The 17111-nt window shown below is 42.1% G+C and overlaps 1 protein-coding gene across 14 annotated transcripts in view; it reads right to left on the bottom strand.

The window, feature by feature from the left end:
- Positions 1-17111, bottom strand: part of FMNL2 (formin like 2) — a 314653-nt gene that overhangs the window by 41505 nt on the left and 256037 nt on the right. For all 14 annotated transcript variants that reach the window (XR_241279.5, XM_011510531.2, XM_011510533.4 and 11 more), the window contains one exon: positions 909-983. Coding sequence is in view for 13 of the 14 variants with exons in the window: in XM_011510531.2 (XP_011508833.1) it covers positions 909-983 (75 nt within the window). In the remaining variant the exon portion in view is untranslated. The remainder of the gene's footprint in view (positions 1-908; positions 984-17111) is intronic.

Genomic DNA, 17111 nt, shown 5'->3' with positions numbered 1-17111 from the left:
TTTTATAATCACTGAAGCAATTCAAATGAAAAATTCACTTGGCATCCTAAGCATAGGCTCTGCAAGGTAAGGAGTCATTGGTACGTCTGCTTCAGGTTAGAAGTGATCTGGGAAATTACAGCCCGGTTAGGATCTCCTGGGTCTAGAATTTCCCTAGGGCAACTGGATTGGGTCAACGCCTACAGATCTGGGTGCACTCAAGCGTAAAACTTCTGGAGAAATTCACTATGGTAGATTCTATCTTCCTTCCAGATTAAGATTTACGTGTATGAATGCAGAAGTGCTGCAACTCACTTTGATGTTCTTACCCGAGAATGACAGGACTGCTGTGGAACCGCATGTTCTTGTATGTCACCTAACCTGCCAAGGACAGCCCCAATATGATTATACCCTCACAGAATTACCAAAGCAGGAAAGAGATCAGGGAGGAAAAAAAAAATCACTGCTGCATATTCATTTTGGAGATACATACAGTCAACTCTACAAACCAAAGCACTTTAATTTTTAAGAATATAGTCTGGAGAAGGGCACTGGCAGGGGCCTGCAAAAATAAAAAAGGTCAAGATTGCTTCTACCTTAAGGATTCTTATGCAGCATCATCAACAATTAAACAATGGCAGCATTTGCACCAGGCATGGCTGTTTCCAACTGCACGGCTTCCCCTTTATTTGCTATGATTAGTACTTTTGTCTTTACTATACCGTGTATGTAAGGAATAAAATGGAAATCAAAGAGAAATACAGATTAAGAGGGACATTCTAGATTGGATCTATAGCATATTAATTGCAATTCCCTGTCCTTTGTAATATAAATATGTGTGTGTGTGTGTGTGTGTGTGTGTGTGTGTGTGTATTTAGAAAAAAAGTATTGAAACTGAGTTTGCTTTATTGAATACTGAAATAACTCACCATAAAATCTATGTTATTGTCTTCATTCCTGAAATGTTCCATCAACTTCTCAAAGCGCTGTTTTTCTCCACAAACCTGAAACACACATTTTCATTGTGCATGTGACTTTCTAAACATAAACATTCCAAAATTAGATGCAGAAATTTCAGCTTAATAATGATTTCCAGAATATCTATCTTTTTCTCTCTCATAAACTATTTACTTCCCTTCTAAGCTAGTTAACTCACAAACAGCCATATGAGCTGCAACCAAAAGCTGATCTTGGTTTCCTTTCCAGATTCTCTTGATATTTTGAAATCCATATCAAATGTGTTTTTCTTTCATTGGTTGCCTTTGCAGTCTCACGAATTTTTTAGCATACATTTGGAATCCAAGAATGCAGTCATGGTAAAAAAAAAAAAAAAAAACAAAAAAAAAAAACGACCATAGCTTCCTTTTGTAAAAAGGAAAAAAGACATGCAAAAAGATATGAGTATTTAAATTCTTTAAAAGGCACATTTAAAATGTTCATATGTATAACTGAATCAAAAAATCTCAGTGCATAAACTACAATACAGAAATAGACACCGTGGAAGCTATATTAACCCATTTAAGGTGAGTATAGAAATCTGCAGTAATTTGTGAAGTAGCATCCCAGAATCCTGAAACATATGCATTCAGCTAATTAATGTTTTCATTGATCAGATGAAACAAACATAAAATACTGGTAACTCCAGGGCCCAAAGGTATTTGCATATACATGAAATAAAATACATGGAGCTAAAAAAAAAAAAAAAAAAAAAAAGAGTCAAAAAAGATTTCTATCAAATGACTCTCTGGGGACTTTTTTTCTTTCTTTTTTTTAAATTTTAGATTCCAAGCTGGAATGTGGTAGCACAATGATAGCTCACTACAGTCTCAACCTCCTGGGCTCAGGCAATCCTCCTGCCTCAGCTTCCCAAGTAGCTGGGACTACAAGCAGGCACCACCATACCCAGCTCTGAAGACTTATTTTTAAAGTCAAAGGACAAACTTTAATTCTGTCAATGTCCTTGGTTGACTTTTTTGGGGCAAAGTCCTATACCCACTGGTTTATTCATTTCACCTTCAGAAAATATTTCTCCAAACCACTCCTGACTATTTGCTGCATTAGTAAGACACAGTCCCTTGGTTAACATTTTGCTAATTTAATCCAGGTTTCACATGCTAAACTCCAAATTTTCTGATTCCATTTGTGATCTTAGGGATAACTCAGGTCAATCCTCAAAAATTCTTCTAAAATGTTATTTCATAATGCAGCCATTTAATTCAGTCGTGTGAAACTCCAAGTGAATATATATATATTTTGGTGAAGAGAAATTCCCACGAAGGCAGGAATTCTGTTTAGTTCACTACATAGCATCTACATCAATGCTTAGTACATTGTAAGTTCCCAATCGTATTTGTTAAATTGCACTGAATAGAAGATAAATGAGTAATTATGTTAAAATTCACTTCACAAAACGATGAATGACTTCCTGTTCTCCATGATGAAGCATTAAACCATGGTAGACAGGCACCACCGGGGGTAAATCCTTAGTGGTGGCCATCTCTAAACCATACGCTGGGAACGTTAAAGTGAACAGCCTTCAGCCTCTGAGGGCCTCCTAGTCTCAAAGCAGTATTTCCAACAGATTCAGACCACCATTTACTGCATTTTCATGACAACTCTCCGTGAAAATTTATTTATACCTGACTTAACAAAAAATAATTTCAGAATGCAGAGGGACAGTGCATGGAAGGTAGAGTCTAAAGTAAAGTCTTTAAAATTGGCCTAACATGGTGGCTCACACCTGTAATCCCAGGGCTTTGAGAGGCCAAAGCGGGAGGATCGCTTGAGCCCCAGAGTTCAAGACTGGCCTGGGCAAAATAATGAAACCATGTCTGTACTGAAAATAAAAATTAAAAAATCAGACAGGTGCAGTGGCACGCACCTGTAGTCCCAGCTACTCAGGAGACTGAGGTGGGAGGATACTTTGAGTCCATGAGGTCGAGGCTGCAGTGAGCCATGATCATGCCATACACCAGCCTGGGCAACAGAGCAAGACCCTGTCTCAAAAATACACACACACACACGCACACACACACGCACACGCACAGACGCACACACATGACCAGTCCCACACTGGAGAGTCTGATTCAATTGGCCCAGGTGGTGCTGGGGGGACACGGGCATGCACAATTTTAAAAGCACTATGGATCATTTTGATGCTCCACAATGGCTGACAACCAGAGATTTAAGGGGTTACCATGTTCTGCCCCCCTCCTCAGCTGGCCCCCCTAGACAATCTACAGCAAGTTCCTGGAAATGAAAGGTTTGTTGAAGGGGGTGAGGCAGTACAGGCCCAGCTCCCTAGACTATGACATCAGTCACATCTTACGCCCAAAGAGACAAGCATCTCTTGCCTGCAAAAAGGGATCTGTGGGTAAAAAACCCTGAGGTTTTATACGAAAGGTCAGAACTGCAATGTGAATTTTCTTTAGCAGAAACCCCAATACAGGCTGGGCACGGTGGTTCTCGCCTGTAATCCCAGCACTTTGGGAGGACGAGGTGGGCAGATAACATGAGGTCAGGAGTTTGAGACCAGCCTGGCCAACATGGTAAAACCCCGTCTGTACTAAAAATACAAAAATTAGCCAGGAGTGGTGGCATGCACCTGTAATCCCAGCTACTTGGGAGGCTGTGGAAGGAGAATTGCTTGAACCCAGAAGGCAGAGGTTGCAGTGAGCCGAGATCATACCACTGCATTCCAGCCTGGGCGACAAAGTGAGACTCTGTCTCAAAAAAAAAACAGTGTACTTTGGTCTTGTTGTGGGTGATTGGTAGTGGCAGTAACAGAAGAGGAAAAGAGGCCATCCTGAATTCGGGGAGAGCTACCAGCTCTCCTGAGAAGCAGACCGTGATTCATGTTTGGTTGAGGGGCTAGGCACACGCTAAACTAAATGAGGCAACAGCTGTTCGTGAACAGTGACAACAAAAGCAATTCCTAGGGAGGCAAAGCTCTTCGAAGAATGTTAGAAAGCTGAAAAATGCCTTTTGCATAATCTGATGCTCTCAATTTATGAATTAGACCTACACAGAGATTAGACTTCTCTAACCTGATGAAAGGTTGAGAGAGTGGCAGAACCAAGGCTAGAACCAGGTCCCCGATGGCCAGCCTGAGGTTCCTTCTCCCACATAGCCCAGAATGCCCATATAAACATATTCCATTAAAGAAGGTAGTTAAGGCATTCCAGCAGTATCTGAGACACACAGAGATGAAAAACATTATCACTAAAAGACATAGTCATTATACCATGCATACTTTGACATCCCTGCACCAGAAACTTCCATGGAACCTCGAAAAATGATAGATTCCTAGAGTCTATATTGAGACATACTGAATAAGAATCTCCCCAGATGGGCCTAGAAATCTGTGAATACTTGTGGTTGTTGGACCAGCATCTGGGAACCAATGGCTCATATGATATCACACTGGCTGATTAAACCCTCAGTCTTTCTGATTACCAATTATAAACTGATTAACTAGATCATTAAATCTCCAGCTCATTCAACTTCTAACTGAGCAACACAAACACAGTTACTATAATTGGATATCATAGGAATGCCGCAGGAATGGACCCACTGCCCCTGCATAAGTGCAATGAATAATAAGGTAACCCAAAAATAATCAAGGGGTGCATGTTGGGTCTTAGAAAAAAAAGGTTTTGAATGGCTGGAAAAGCACATGTGGACGGCAACAAACTACTCATAGCCTGTTACTTTAAAAGATGGCATCAAATATAGAACAAGCAACACTAGATTTCATGGTGGATAAGGATCCCAAAAAACACATCACTAGCCTGGCAGATAGACCTGAAGTAGATGTTAAGAAGAGCCTTGAATATATGTGTTTCTTTAGAGAGCCCTCATTCTGTCAACAGACAAATCCCTACTGAGAACATGTGCGTTACAAAACAGAGAAATACCTCTAATCTTAAAAAAAAAAAAAAAAACAGACTTAAATATCTTCTTATTTACAGCTGCTATGAACTTGGCGAAAATAACCCAAATGCACAAAATGACATTATGAATACAAATGCCGGCTTTGGGAAACCTTGAAAGCAACAGAGTGACCACTCTCCATGGTAAGGACTAGAAGGACCCCTACTACCACAGCTCCACCAGACCCAAGGCTGCTTTGCTGCCAATCTCAACTAATGAACTCAGGGTTGTGTTTCCTGACACATTCCACAGGCACAGCAAGGATTCCAGAGCCCCACTTTGTTTCTGAGGAAGGAAAGGAAGCATGCAGGCCAGATTCACATTTGTTTCTCCATTACTTTAGCAATCATTAAACAAGTGTACACTACAATCCCACAGGAAACAGGAAGATATGTTTGGGGAAGGTTGGTAAAAGTTGTGTCCCACATCAAAGGAAAGTTGTCTTCGTTCATACTGCTCACATCTGGAGCACCCCCACGCACTGGGTGAAACAGGACCATCATGGTGGAACATGCTCTCTCCTTTGCGGTGGCCTCTTTAGAAAATCGGTGAGGATGAAAGGAACGAGACACTAATTTTCAGTTATTTTCAGAATCCATGCATTGGCCTGCATGGGAATGAACTCGAGCGCTTCATCAAAACGTTTCTAAGAGCCAGGAGCATATTTGCACGTGTACATCATTACACATTCTATATTGATGGGCATCACTTCCATCTGCCCACAAAGGCCAGATAATACACGGTGCAAAAACTTTTTAATAAAAAAGCTATATTCTTGCAGCTGAAACGTGTCATTCTTGACTTTTATATTCACTGGTATATCTCGTTCTCCCACCAGCTTTGATACCAGTTTCCAAATCAATAACATGTACTCTATTAAGTGGGGTGGGGAGAAAGTTTAAGAGCTACAGAAAAACTGAGCCGAGCAGAGCGGCAAGGAGCCCTTCTGTGCACTGGACTGCCCTATCAGGAATTAGACTACTACTGCTAGCAGCTGGGGCTACCAGCAATTAAGTAAACCAGCAGACAAATAAAAGTATATGCCCTGGAAAAGTATGTACCCTACTGAAAACCAAGAGGCATCTTCATTATAAATCATCTATAAACCGGCTGCAAGTGAATAAATTCACGATCCCAGTTAATGTAAAAATGATCAGGCTCCAATCCTGGACCAGAGACTTCAGTCTGCTAACACAGCCACCTATCTGCCCATCCCTGTGGGGTCCTGCCTAATACAACTGCCTCTCTTTGCACCTTCAAGCTCTAAGACTGATGGGGGTAAAGGGCTATAAGGGTAGAAATGGGACTATGTGGCACATTAGACAAGACTGTAAAACCTGGGTTATAAGTCACAGTTCAGCCACTACCCTGTTGTTAGCTTGGACCATTCAGCAAACAACCCTGGACTTCAGTTTTCACATCTATCAAGTTGAGAGCCTTAGGCCAGGTGCAGTGGCTCACACCTGTACTCCCAGCACTTTGGGAGGCCGAGACAGGTGGATCACCTGAGGTCAGGAGTTTGAGACCAGCCTGGCCAACAGGGTGAAACCCCGTTTCTACTAGAAATACAAAAATTAATTGGGCATGGTGGCGGGCGCCTGTAATCCCACGTATTAGGAAGGCTGAGGCAGGAGAATCACTTGAACCTGGGAGGTGAAGGTTCCAGTGAGCCAAGGTCACACCATTGCACTCTAGCCTGGGTGACAGAGTGAGACTCTGTCTCAAAAAAAAAAAAAAAAGAAAGAAAAGAAAAGAAAAGAGAGCCTTAGATAATACTACTGGTTTGCAAGCCATACTTTAAGAAAGCAATCGGCCGGCGCGGTGGCTCATGCCTGTAATCCCAGCACTTTGGGAGGCCAAGGTGGGCGGATTGCCTGAGGTCAGGAGTTCGAGACTAGCCTGGCCAAGGTAGTGAAAACCAGTCTCTACTAAAAATGCAAAAATTAGCTGGGCGTCGTGGCAGGCGCCTGTAATCCCAGCTATTCAGGAGGCTGAGGTAGGAGAATTGCTTGAACCTGGGGGATGGAGGTTGCAGTTAGCCGAGATCGTGCCACTGCACTCCAGCCTGGGTGACAGAGCGAGACTCCATCTCAAAAAAAAAAAAAAAGAAAAAAGAAAAGAAAAGAAAGAAAGCCATCAGGGTTACAGAGGAAATAAAGGAGAAGAAACTATATGGGTTACAGAGCTTTGGGAGTAAGGGGGAATTCCAAGTCAGGGGCTTGGCCGAGAAAGGGAAAGCCTAAGTAAGGTTCTTGAGAATTCTACCCTCACTATCCAGATCTTCTTTCTTATACTTACTTAGTTGTCTGATAAGATTGCTTTTGAGGGGAAAAAAAGGTTTCATTGCAAATAAAAAATTTGAAAAAAATTCTCTCCCTCAGTATTCTTGAACGTCTAAAATTCTCATCTAGCATGGCAATAGAACATGATATGGCCAAGCTGACTGGCATGGAAGCTCCACAGAAACAAATTCAGAGGAATGCACTTGGCTGTGCTGGCCCTGAATACCAAACATAAAGGTCAAACCACTCTCTTGCCCCATCTGGTTCACTCCTGATTGTGAAGCTATGAAATCCCATACCCTGCACAGATAACGTGGGCCACTCCCAGGACAAGCAAGATTCATTTTCATGTAAAGGAGAATTGAAGCAAAAGCAAAACTTCTGCCAAAAAAAAAAAGCTCCAACTATGCTCTCCAACATCTGTGAAAGACATTTGTGAACAGTGTCCCAAACCATTTGGATCAATCTGGGACCCTGGAGGCAAAGGTGGCTATAGTTTAAAGCATCTCAAAGGGTGGGCGGCGGTTAGGGGATGCTTTCCCTAAAGGCTAATAGTGGAGAGGAGATGGTTTTACAAAAACCTTGGGTATTATCTTGCCAGCCAGATGTTGAAGTGAACACACTCCCAGACTTCAGCCACCTCTCTGTCCCTCTTCAAGGTGAGTAACAGTCTCTGGCTTTCCCCAGCAACAGCTCCCAGGGAACCATGCAAAGTCTGTAGCCAAATTGAGGCCTGACTCTTATGAGATGGCTATAAAATATGCTTCTGGGTTAGTTATATAAAAATTAAAGGCCCTTTGCTTAAGTGTTTCCTTCTTGCCTTGTTGCCTGGCGCCTGCCTCAATACTTTCTTTTTCTCCTCTTACAATAGGCCCCTGTGATCTGCAAGGCTCCCTGCAGGAAGGCACCGTTTTAGAGGCACACTCTATTATGACTGATTAGACGACCCTTCTCGGGGCCTGCCTGAGAACAAAAGTTCTGTTTTCTTTTCAGGGCCTTGTGAAGTAAACAGTTATTTCATAGTTAGTCCTAGGTGAAAACCATCTTTTACCATCTACTGAGTGCACCAGCAGTCTGAGGGCTATATGAGGGCCATAATGGCCTGACAAAACCACTTTTCTGGGGTGTTCTGTGGCTGTCAATGGTCTGTTATTGTTGTCTCTTGAAGTGATTGGACATTTCATACACATACACCATGCAGCAGCCATGACAGAAGCAGATCACTCCAACCTGCTGCTGGCTCTCATGTCTCCTTGGGATTTAACTGTGAATATGTTCATCCAGCTGAAATGCTCTGAAACTGAACAACCTTATCTCACTCCGCTAAAACAAAAACTAATGAAAGCTAAGCAACTAAATGTATTCTATAACCTAGTCAACTCTCCTCCTTCATAAATACAACATTTGTATCAATCCTGGACCAGGAGATGACTATGAGCCTGAGGTTTCATTCGCATAATGCTAAACACCCTTGTGAAAACTTCAGTAACTTTTCCAGGTGTTTCCAGATATCCAGATGTTTGGCAGGAGGCACACAGAGCAGCCAGATGACTGTCTTACTTTCCACACCCATATTTTGCTGTACTGAATAAAGAACCCAAAGACAGAAGCAAAAGGATCGTAAAATCCCCAAAGGACGACTCATTGACGCATCACCCCTTCAATGAGAAATGTCTTTTTACTACCTCTCTAAAAAAAAAAAAAAAAAAAAAAAAAAAAAAAAGATGACCTTCAATAAATTCTAGAGAGTAAAACTCCTCCTTACAATAGGTCATAAATGATCTCTTTCCGAAATATGCTTCAAGTCCAGCCTGAACCTCTCTAGCTTCAATGCAAGACTCACATCTCCTGGTCATTAGGAAGGACACATAGAGTCTTTCAAGGCTACTTGTAATGGTTAACTTTATGCGTCAACTTGAGACGGTGAAGTGATGTCCAAGAGCTGGTGAAATATTTCTGGGTGTGTCTGTGACAGTGAGTAAAGAAGACGTCCCTCTCCAATGTGGCTGGGCGTCTCCAATCCACTGAGGGCCCAAACAGAACAAAAAGAATTTGGAGGAAGGGTGAATTCTCTCTCATCTTGAGCTGGGACATCCATCTTCTTCCCCTGCCCTTGGACAATGGAGCTCTTGGTTCTCAGGCCTTCAGACTCCATAACTTACACCACTTGCTCTTACTTCTCAGGCCTTCAGACTTGAGCTGAATGACACCCTAGCTTTTCTGGATTTCCAGCTTACAGATGCGTAGCATGGAACTTCTCTACCTCCATAACCACGTGAGCAATTCCCATAATGTTTCCTCTTATATCTTCAGATATATCTATAGATGTCCTGTTGTCTCTGTTTCTCTGGAGAGCCCTAATACACCCCCATTTCTACTAGAAAGCCAAAATACCTTCCATTTCTTCAATAAAGAATGATATTTACTGACTGACTGATTGAGACAGAGTCTCGCTCTGTCACCCAGGCTGGAGTGCAGTGGCGCAATCTTGGCTCATTGCAATCTCTACCTCCCGGGTTTCAAGCAATTCTCCTGCCTCAGCCTCCTGAGTAGCTGGGATTAAAGGCACATGCCACCAGGCCTGGGTAATTTTTGTATTTTTAGTAGAAACGGGGTTTCGCCATGTTGGCCAGGCTGGTCTTGAACTCCTGGCCTCAAGTGATCCACCCACCGCAGCCTCCCAAAGTGCTGGGATTACAGGCATGAGCCACCGCACCCAGCCTGAGAATGGTATTTAAATAGCCACCTGAGGATTACATGACAAAGGCCTTCAGTCCTCTCTGGGATGACTTACCAGTCAGACCCCTCAAAGTTGAAGGAGCCTAACACTGTTCTTTATTTTCAATCATTTCTCTTCACAGCTTCATCCTTTGAGCATATCCAATTAGGTCAAGCTGAGCAAGGGAAGGGACACAATGACATCTCTAGGGGTTATCGCATGTTCTCTAAACCACAGCAAGAGCACGTGGCTAGAGCTGTCTAAAGCCTGCAGCAATTTCAGATCTTGGGGCCTGCGCAAGAGGCAGCTATCAGCCCATGCTCTCCTCACACCTAAATCACTACAAATCTAATCAGTGCATGGTGTGCCATGAATGCAGAGACCTTGAAGACAGGGACTCTTGGATAGACCAAATATCTCAGGCCAACAACAGGCAAATGCCTGCAGTTTGTCTACAGCTCGCTTCTCTCATTTCCCAACCCTTCTACTTTCATCTTTGCTTTTCCCCAAGTTCACCCTAACACCCACAGTCACCTCTGGGTCTTAAGCAGAAGGATTTTGCGCTTAGCCAATTGGAACCACTTCCACCCAGCCCAAGATGACAGCAGAGAATGGATTTGGGTACCAGTTCTTAAAGTGTGGTCCTTGAACACCAAGGGTACTTTAGGCCCTTTTATGAGGTTTGTGAGGGCAGCATTATTTGTATAATACTACTAAGATGTTACTTAATACTTTCACAGAGTTGGCAGTTGGCACTGGTGGCACAAAAGGAACAATGAGTGAATACTGCCAGTGCCATAGCATGCATCAAGGCAGTGCACCAAATTATACCAGTAATCCCTGTATTCACCACAGCCACGCATTCTCAGTTTTAAAAAGCCAGTTTCACTTAAGAATATCATTGATGAAGCAGTAAAAGGTATTAATTTTATACATCTCAACCCCTAGATACACATCTTTATGATACTCTAGATGATGAAATGGGGAGTCTGCATAAAGCATTTCTGCCGCATATTGAAGTATGGTTGTCTTGAGGAAAAAGCATTTCTGTGATTATTTCAGTTGCAAGATGAACTAGCCACTCTTTGTTCTTACTTGAAAGCATGACTGACAAATTCAGACTTATGCACTTGGCAGGTATTTTCTTGAAAATGAACAAAGTGCACCTTTTAATTTAAAGATAACAGCTGACAATATTTGTTATCAATGATAAAAATTAAGCAAACACATGAAAACTGTACCCACCACGAGGAGTCTGACTGCTTCCCAGTATTTAAAGAATTTTCTAATGAGATTGGAGGTAAAAATAATGCATGTGATTTGTTAAAATAGTATATTAGGAAATGTGCCAATTATTAGAAGATCTAGATAACTCAGTGTACCATTATTTTCCCAATGATCACTGAATGTTGTTACAAATTTATAAATTCATTCAAGGTGCAATATAGGCAAATAGATTTTAATGCAACAGTATGGAAAAAGTTCATCGATACGATTTCGGATTCTACTTTGTGACTAACCTTTAAGAAATTACTACTTGTCTAGTGTTTGTATAGTATCAAAGAAGAATGCCCACTATTATCTGAAAATGCTGTTGACATAATTCTATTTCATCTACATATCTGTGTGAGGCTAAATTTTCTTCATCTACTTCAACAAAAACAACAGCAGAAGTGACTAAACGCAGAAGCAGATCTAAGAATGCAGCTATCTTCTACGAGTCAATCTCCCTAAGTGCTGAGATTACAAACGTGAGCCACCATGCCTGGCCTGAAATTTTGTTGTAATTTCTAATATGGAAAATATCAACATATAACTTGCATAAACAAAAGCTCTTTAGGGACCTCAGTGATTTTTAAGAGCATAAAAAGGGCTCCAGGGGCCAAAAGTTGGAAACTACTGGATTACAGAATAGCCTCTATTTCTACAAAGATGATGGATTCTTAAACCTAAAATCTAAAGAAGCAAATAAATGGATAACTAATAGTAAAATTCCTTGCAAGATTGTTTGGGAATCAACCATACCATACAAAGAACTACTAAATGTACCATCTCTGCATAAAAATGAAGCCACATCACACAGAGACCAATAGTGTCTTCATATAGAAAGGAGCCCTCCACCATTTTCCAAGGTAGAAAAAAAAGACAGCCGGGCTCAGTGGCTCATGCCTGTAATTTCAGCACTGCGGGAGGCCGAGGTGGGCGGATCACTTGAGGTCAGGAGTTCAAGACCAGCCTGGCCAATATGGCAAAACCCCATCTCTACTAAAAAAAAAAAAATCACCCAGGCGTTGTGGCACATGCCTATAATCCCAGCCGTTCTGGAGGCAGAGGCGGGAGAATCGCTTAAACCTGAGAGGAGGAGGTTGCAGTGAGCCGAGATGGTGCCACTGCACTCCAGATTGGGCAGCAGAGTGAGACTTGGTCTAAAAAAAAAAAAAAAAAAAGACTTCCTTGCAATTCTTCTGTTTAATAAGGCCAGGTACAATCCCTGGTACTTATCAGGTTGGATGGAAACAGCCCCTAACTGTTCTCTGATTATCTCTGGGATGTACCCACTCTGTCACATTAGACTCATTATAAGGCTAGAAGATGTTCTTTTCCCAAAGCCAGGTGAATGTTAGATTTCAAGCAAGAATATGGGAAAGGGACAGAAAGAGATCTCCTCCGCATGGGAAAAAAAATATATAGAACACACATTCCTCAAAGTTCAGAAATTCATACTGAATGAATCCACCCAAGTAAACAAATTTGTCTGGGACGCCTGACACCATAATATCAAACAATCATGGGCCGGGCATGGTGGCTCATGCCTGTAATCTTAGCACTTTGGGAGGCCAAGGCAGGCAGATCACTTGAGGTCAGGAGTTCGAGACCAGCCTGGCCAACATGGCAAAACCCCGTCTCTACTAAAAATACAAAAATTAGCTGGGCGTGGTGGCGTGTCTGTAGTCCCAACTACTCAGGAGCCTGAGGCATGAGAACTGCCTGAACTCGGGAGGTGGAGGTTGCAGTGAGCCGAGATTGCGCCACTGCACTCCAGCCTAGGTGACAAGAGCAAGACTCTGCCTCAAAAGCAACAACAATCAAATCAATCAATCAATCATGAACAAATACACAAGGAACAAAAAGATCATTATCTTTTACCAATGTGCTAAACATGTTCTTGACACGTTCCACATAGAAAGCACCATTTACTAATTTTACATCTATTCCTGGAAAATAGTTGAAAATGAAATGAAAAATTCAGTGTTGTTCTTGGTGGTGAACCAGTAAATCTGGGATATCACATGTGTTGCTAGTACAGTTATTGGCAGGGAAGGAGCCCTTATTTTCCACTGCCAAAACCAAACTGCCAAAACAACACAGAGCCTAAAGCTCATGTTACCATGACTGGCCATTTCCACTCCCCTGTGACGCAGAGTTTGCGGGGAACATCTTGTCAGAGAGCTCAACTGCAAGATGAAGGGTGACTGACAGTGACTGTTGGACCATAAGTAGGAACCACTGGGCTATTTTCTTCTAGTGAGTGTGTTTCAGTCAATTGTGAATGAAAACCGAGTCTGACTATATATTCTTGGCAGACTGATACATAGAATTAAAGAGCTGGGCAGTAGCCACATATACCACTGTGTTGAAAGGAATAAAGAATGGCTGTTGAGCTGCAGTGGGCAGAACAGTTTGGGGTAGGACAGGGGAGCTGGGAAACTAAAAGCTTAAATCAAGACTCAAAAGCTCCATCTTTCAAAAGCTACACAAGCCAGGGATGCTTCTTCCACAGACAAGTCCTCAACAGTACCTCGTGCGGTGGTACTAACAGCATGGCCAGCACAGCCAGCTCACTCTCAGTCTAGGGAAACAGCGACGTCCTTAGACACATGGCAGATTTTTGAAATGAAACTTGAGCCAAGGGATTGACGCAGCCACCTTCCAAGTAGTCATAAAAGGGAACTTAGGCCGGAAGTCACAATACTGTCTGCAGTCATAGTGATCTCTTTTAGGATTGTTGCTCTCCTGCCAACTGGCCTCAAACATGTCAGTTTTTGTTCTTGTTTGAAAAATGAAAGCACCTATCATTTTATTATCTAGGTACCTTGTTTTCATATCTGCAGTCAAAGAAGCACTTAATCTTTCTTAGAGGGAACTATTTGAATAGGTACACACAATACATGTTACATACATAGGCATGTGTACACAAAGTTTTATATAGAATCATAAAATTGTAGACTTGGAAGATATATAAAAACCACTTGACTAACTTCTCACCTAAAGCAAAAACTTACATCACAATATACCAGACCCACCAGGAATCCTCTCATCCTCTTGACCACCTTCCCCTTTGTACTGTGCTGGTCTCTTCTGAGCATCCTTCTAGCCCATTCTAACCTTGTCTCTTCACTCTTTTCCTTCTGGACTGGGGTCCCTGTGGGGGAGTTTTCCTCCTTAGTTACTTAGTTACAATCCCCATTTGGCTCTCTCTCGCTCTCTCTCTCTCTCTCTCTCTCTCACACACACACACACACACACACACACACACACACACACACACTCTCTCTCTCTCTCTCTCTCTCCCTAGTCACCTCTGTTTAAACTTGTTCTCTCATTCATTACCTTCATTGCACAGCTAAGAATCTGACCTCGGGCATTACACCCCCACTAAAAAAATAAATTAAAAAAAAAGTTTTATTTTCTTTGCCTGAAAAAAGAAATCCCCAGATTGTATTTGTTGACTATAGTTGGGCTACTTTCCTCTTCATTAAGTGTATATTATTTGAACAGATTCTTATTCTCCTCGTGTCCATTCTCATATTCGGTGGATCACCCTATCTCTTATTGCCTTTTCTTTCATTTTTTGGCTTCATATTCATTGCCATGGCCACAAACTGGGTCCAAGGCTGAGTCATTTGACAACTGAACCACCTGTCTTCCAGACTCCAGCATCTCTCCCCTCTACTGTATTTTCTGCAGAGCTACACAATACTCCTAAAGTTTTATCCAAATTACATAAAAGGCTTTTTGCAGATTTCCACAGAATCAAATGCAATATATATATATAGCATTTTCTAAACTGTAAAGTATTATGTAACTGTGAATTTCTTCCCTTTCTCTTTTTTCCCTTCTATTTGTATCTATCTTCTAGTTGAGGTGTTTGTTTGTTTGTTTGTTTGTTTTAATCACAGGTTTCCAGTCTCTCCACCACTGTTTCCTCAGAACCTCATTCATGCCTGCCTCTTGCCATGTTTTGTTCTGTAACATGGACCCTGGTCAGATATTTTTCCTGGTTAAAGAACAAATATATTCTGACTTATGCTGCCTTTGAGACAGATTTCATGCCAATCTCTCTGCTCCCAGAATTCTCTCCATCAAATCAGGTCTCTTCCCTTCCTGATCACCCTGCTCAGGACCTACCCACTTCTCCCACTGGGCCCTGTACAAACAGTATGGTCTGTTCTGAATTTTACCAGTAATTTTAAACACCCCAATAATCTATCCAATCTCTAACCATTCCCATTAGGTTTGCTTTTCGGTGGAAAATTGAGGACAATATACGAACATGTGTGGAAAGTGCCTGGAATGTGAGACATGTTATGTAAGGCTGTATATGAACTCTGAGTTAAATGGATCTGTGTAAAAATCCCAGAGTTGCCATTTACTAGAGACGTCAGTAGGCCCATTTGCTCTGAGCTCTCCCTCTATGTTCCTACCTCAGATGGTGCATCTAAGAATTAACAAAATAATATATACTAGTCTGCCAGCACTAAGGAAACAATAAACAAACAAATTTTTTATTAAATAGAAAATTAACTAATAGTAGCCTTACTATTTCTGCATATGTATATGCCTTTTTATGTACATGACATAAATACACTAATGTTGACAATAAAGAAGAAAATGGAATTGATTCTGAACTCTGCTCATGCTTTCTTTCTGAAGAGAATTGCTGGTTTAAAAGAAACCAACAAACAAAGCCCTTATTGACGAGAGACCCCCACATCAATAAAAAATGTGCTTATGTTTTACAAGAGTTTAAATTTCAAATGAAATTTGAACTTGACTCACATAGAGAGTCAAGCTCAATACACACATTCATTGTCAATAACACCTAACATTTTGGTTTAAATTACAATTAGGTATAAAAATATAAATACATGCACAATTCTTAAAGTTTTAAATTACTGTCCTCCTAGTGTTGACCTTAGTGTATATTTGGTCCTCAACTAAATACCTATTAAAGTCAGTCCTACCTTTCTCAAGGCAATACAAACTTCTGTGGCACGGAAATCATGAGTTATCTTTTCTTTTTTTTTGAGACGAAGTCTCGCTCTGCCACCAGGCTGGAGTGCAGTGGCGCGATCTAGGCTCACTGCAACCTCTGCCTCCCGGGTTCAAGCGATTCTCCTGCCTCAGCCTCCTGAGTAGCTGGGACTACAGGCACGTGCCACCACACCCGGCTTATTTTTTGTATTTTTAGTAGAGAAGGGGTTTCACCACGTTGGCCAAGATGGTCTCTAACTCCAGACCTTGTGATCACCTGCCTCAGCCTCCCAAAGTTTTGGGATTACAGGCGTTAGCCACCGCACCTGGCTGCCTTATCTTTTCTTTAGAGACAGGTTCTCGCTGTGTCGCCCAGGCTGGAGTGCAGCGGTGTGATCACGGCTCACCGCAGTCTTGACCCCCTAGACCCAAGCAATCCTCTGGCTTCAGCCTCCTGAGTACCGGGGACCACAAGCGTGCACCAACATGCCTGGCTAATTTTTGTATTTTCTGTAGAGGCAGGGTCTTACCATGTTGCTCATGCTAATTGTGAACTCCCAGGCTATAGCAGTCCTTCCACCTTGGTGTCCCAGGGCGCTGGGATTACCGGCATGAGCCGTTGCGCCTGGCCTGAAACCTTTTATTTTCTAACAAACTCCCCTAACCCTGTAACGGGGTCACTGTAAAAAGTATATTTGCTCAACAGTCTGCTGGCAATTCCAAACAGTTCTGATTCTGTTTCACAGTTTTGAAGAAAAGGTGGTAGTCTGGAGAGATGTTACACAAAAGATAACTGAGCATCTTTAGAAAAGACAAATCTAGCCATATAAAATATTACCAGAGGGAGGCCGGGCGCAGTGGCTCACGCCTGTAATCCTAGCACTTTGGGAAGCCAAGGTGGGCGGATCACGAAGTCAGGAGTTCGAGACCAGTCTGGCCAATAT

The sequence above is a fragment of the Homo sapiens genome, chromosome 2 (genome assembly GCF_000001405.40).
Source record: "Homo sapiens chromosome 2, GRCh38.p14 Primary Assembly".
In the NCBI taxonomy this organism is placed as follows: domain Eukaryota; kingdom Metazoa; phylum Chordata; class Mammalia; order Primates; family Hominidae; genus Homo; species Homo sapiens.
This window is presented reverse-complemented; position numbering and strand designations above follow the sequence as displayed.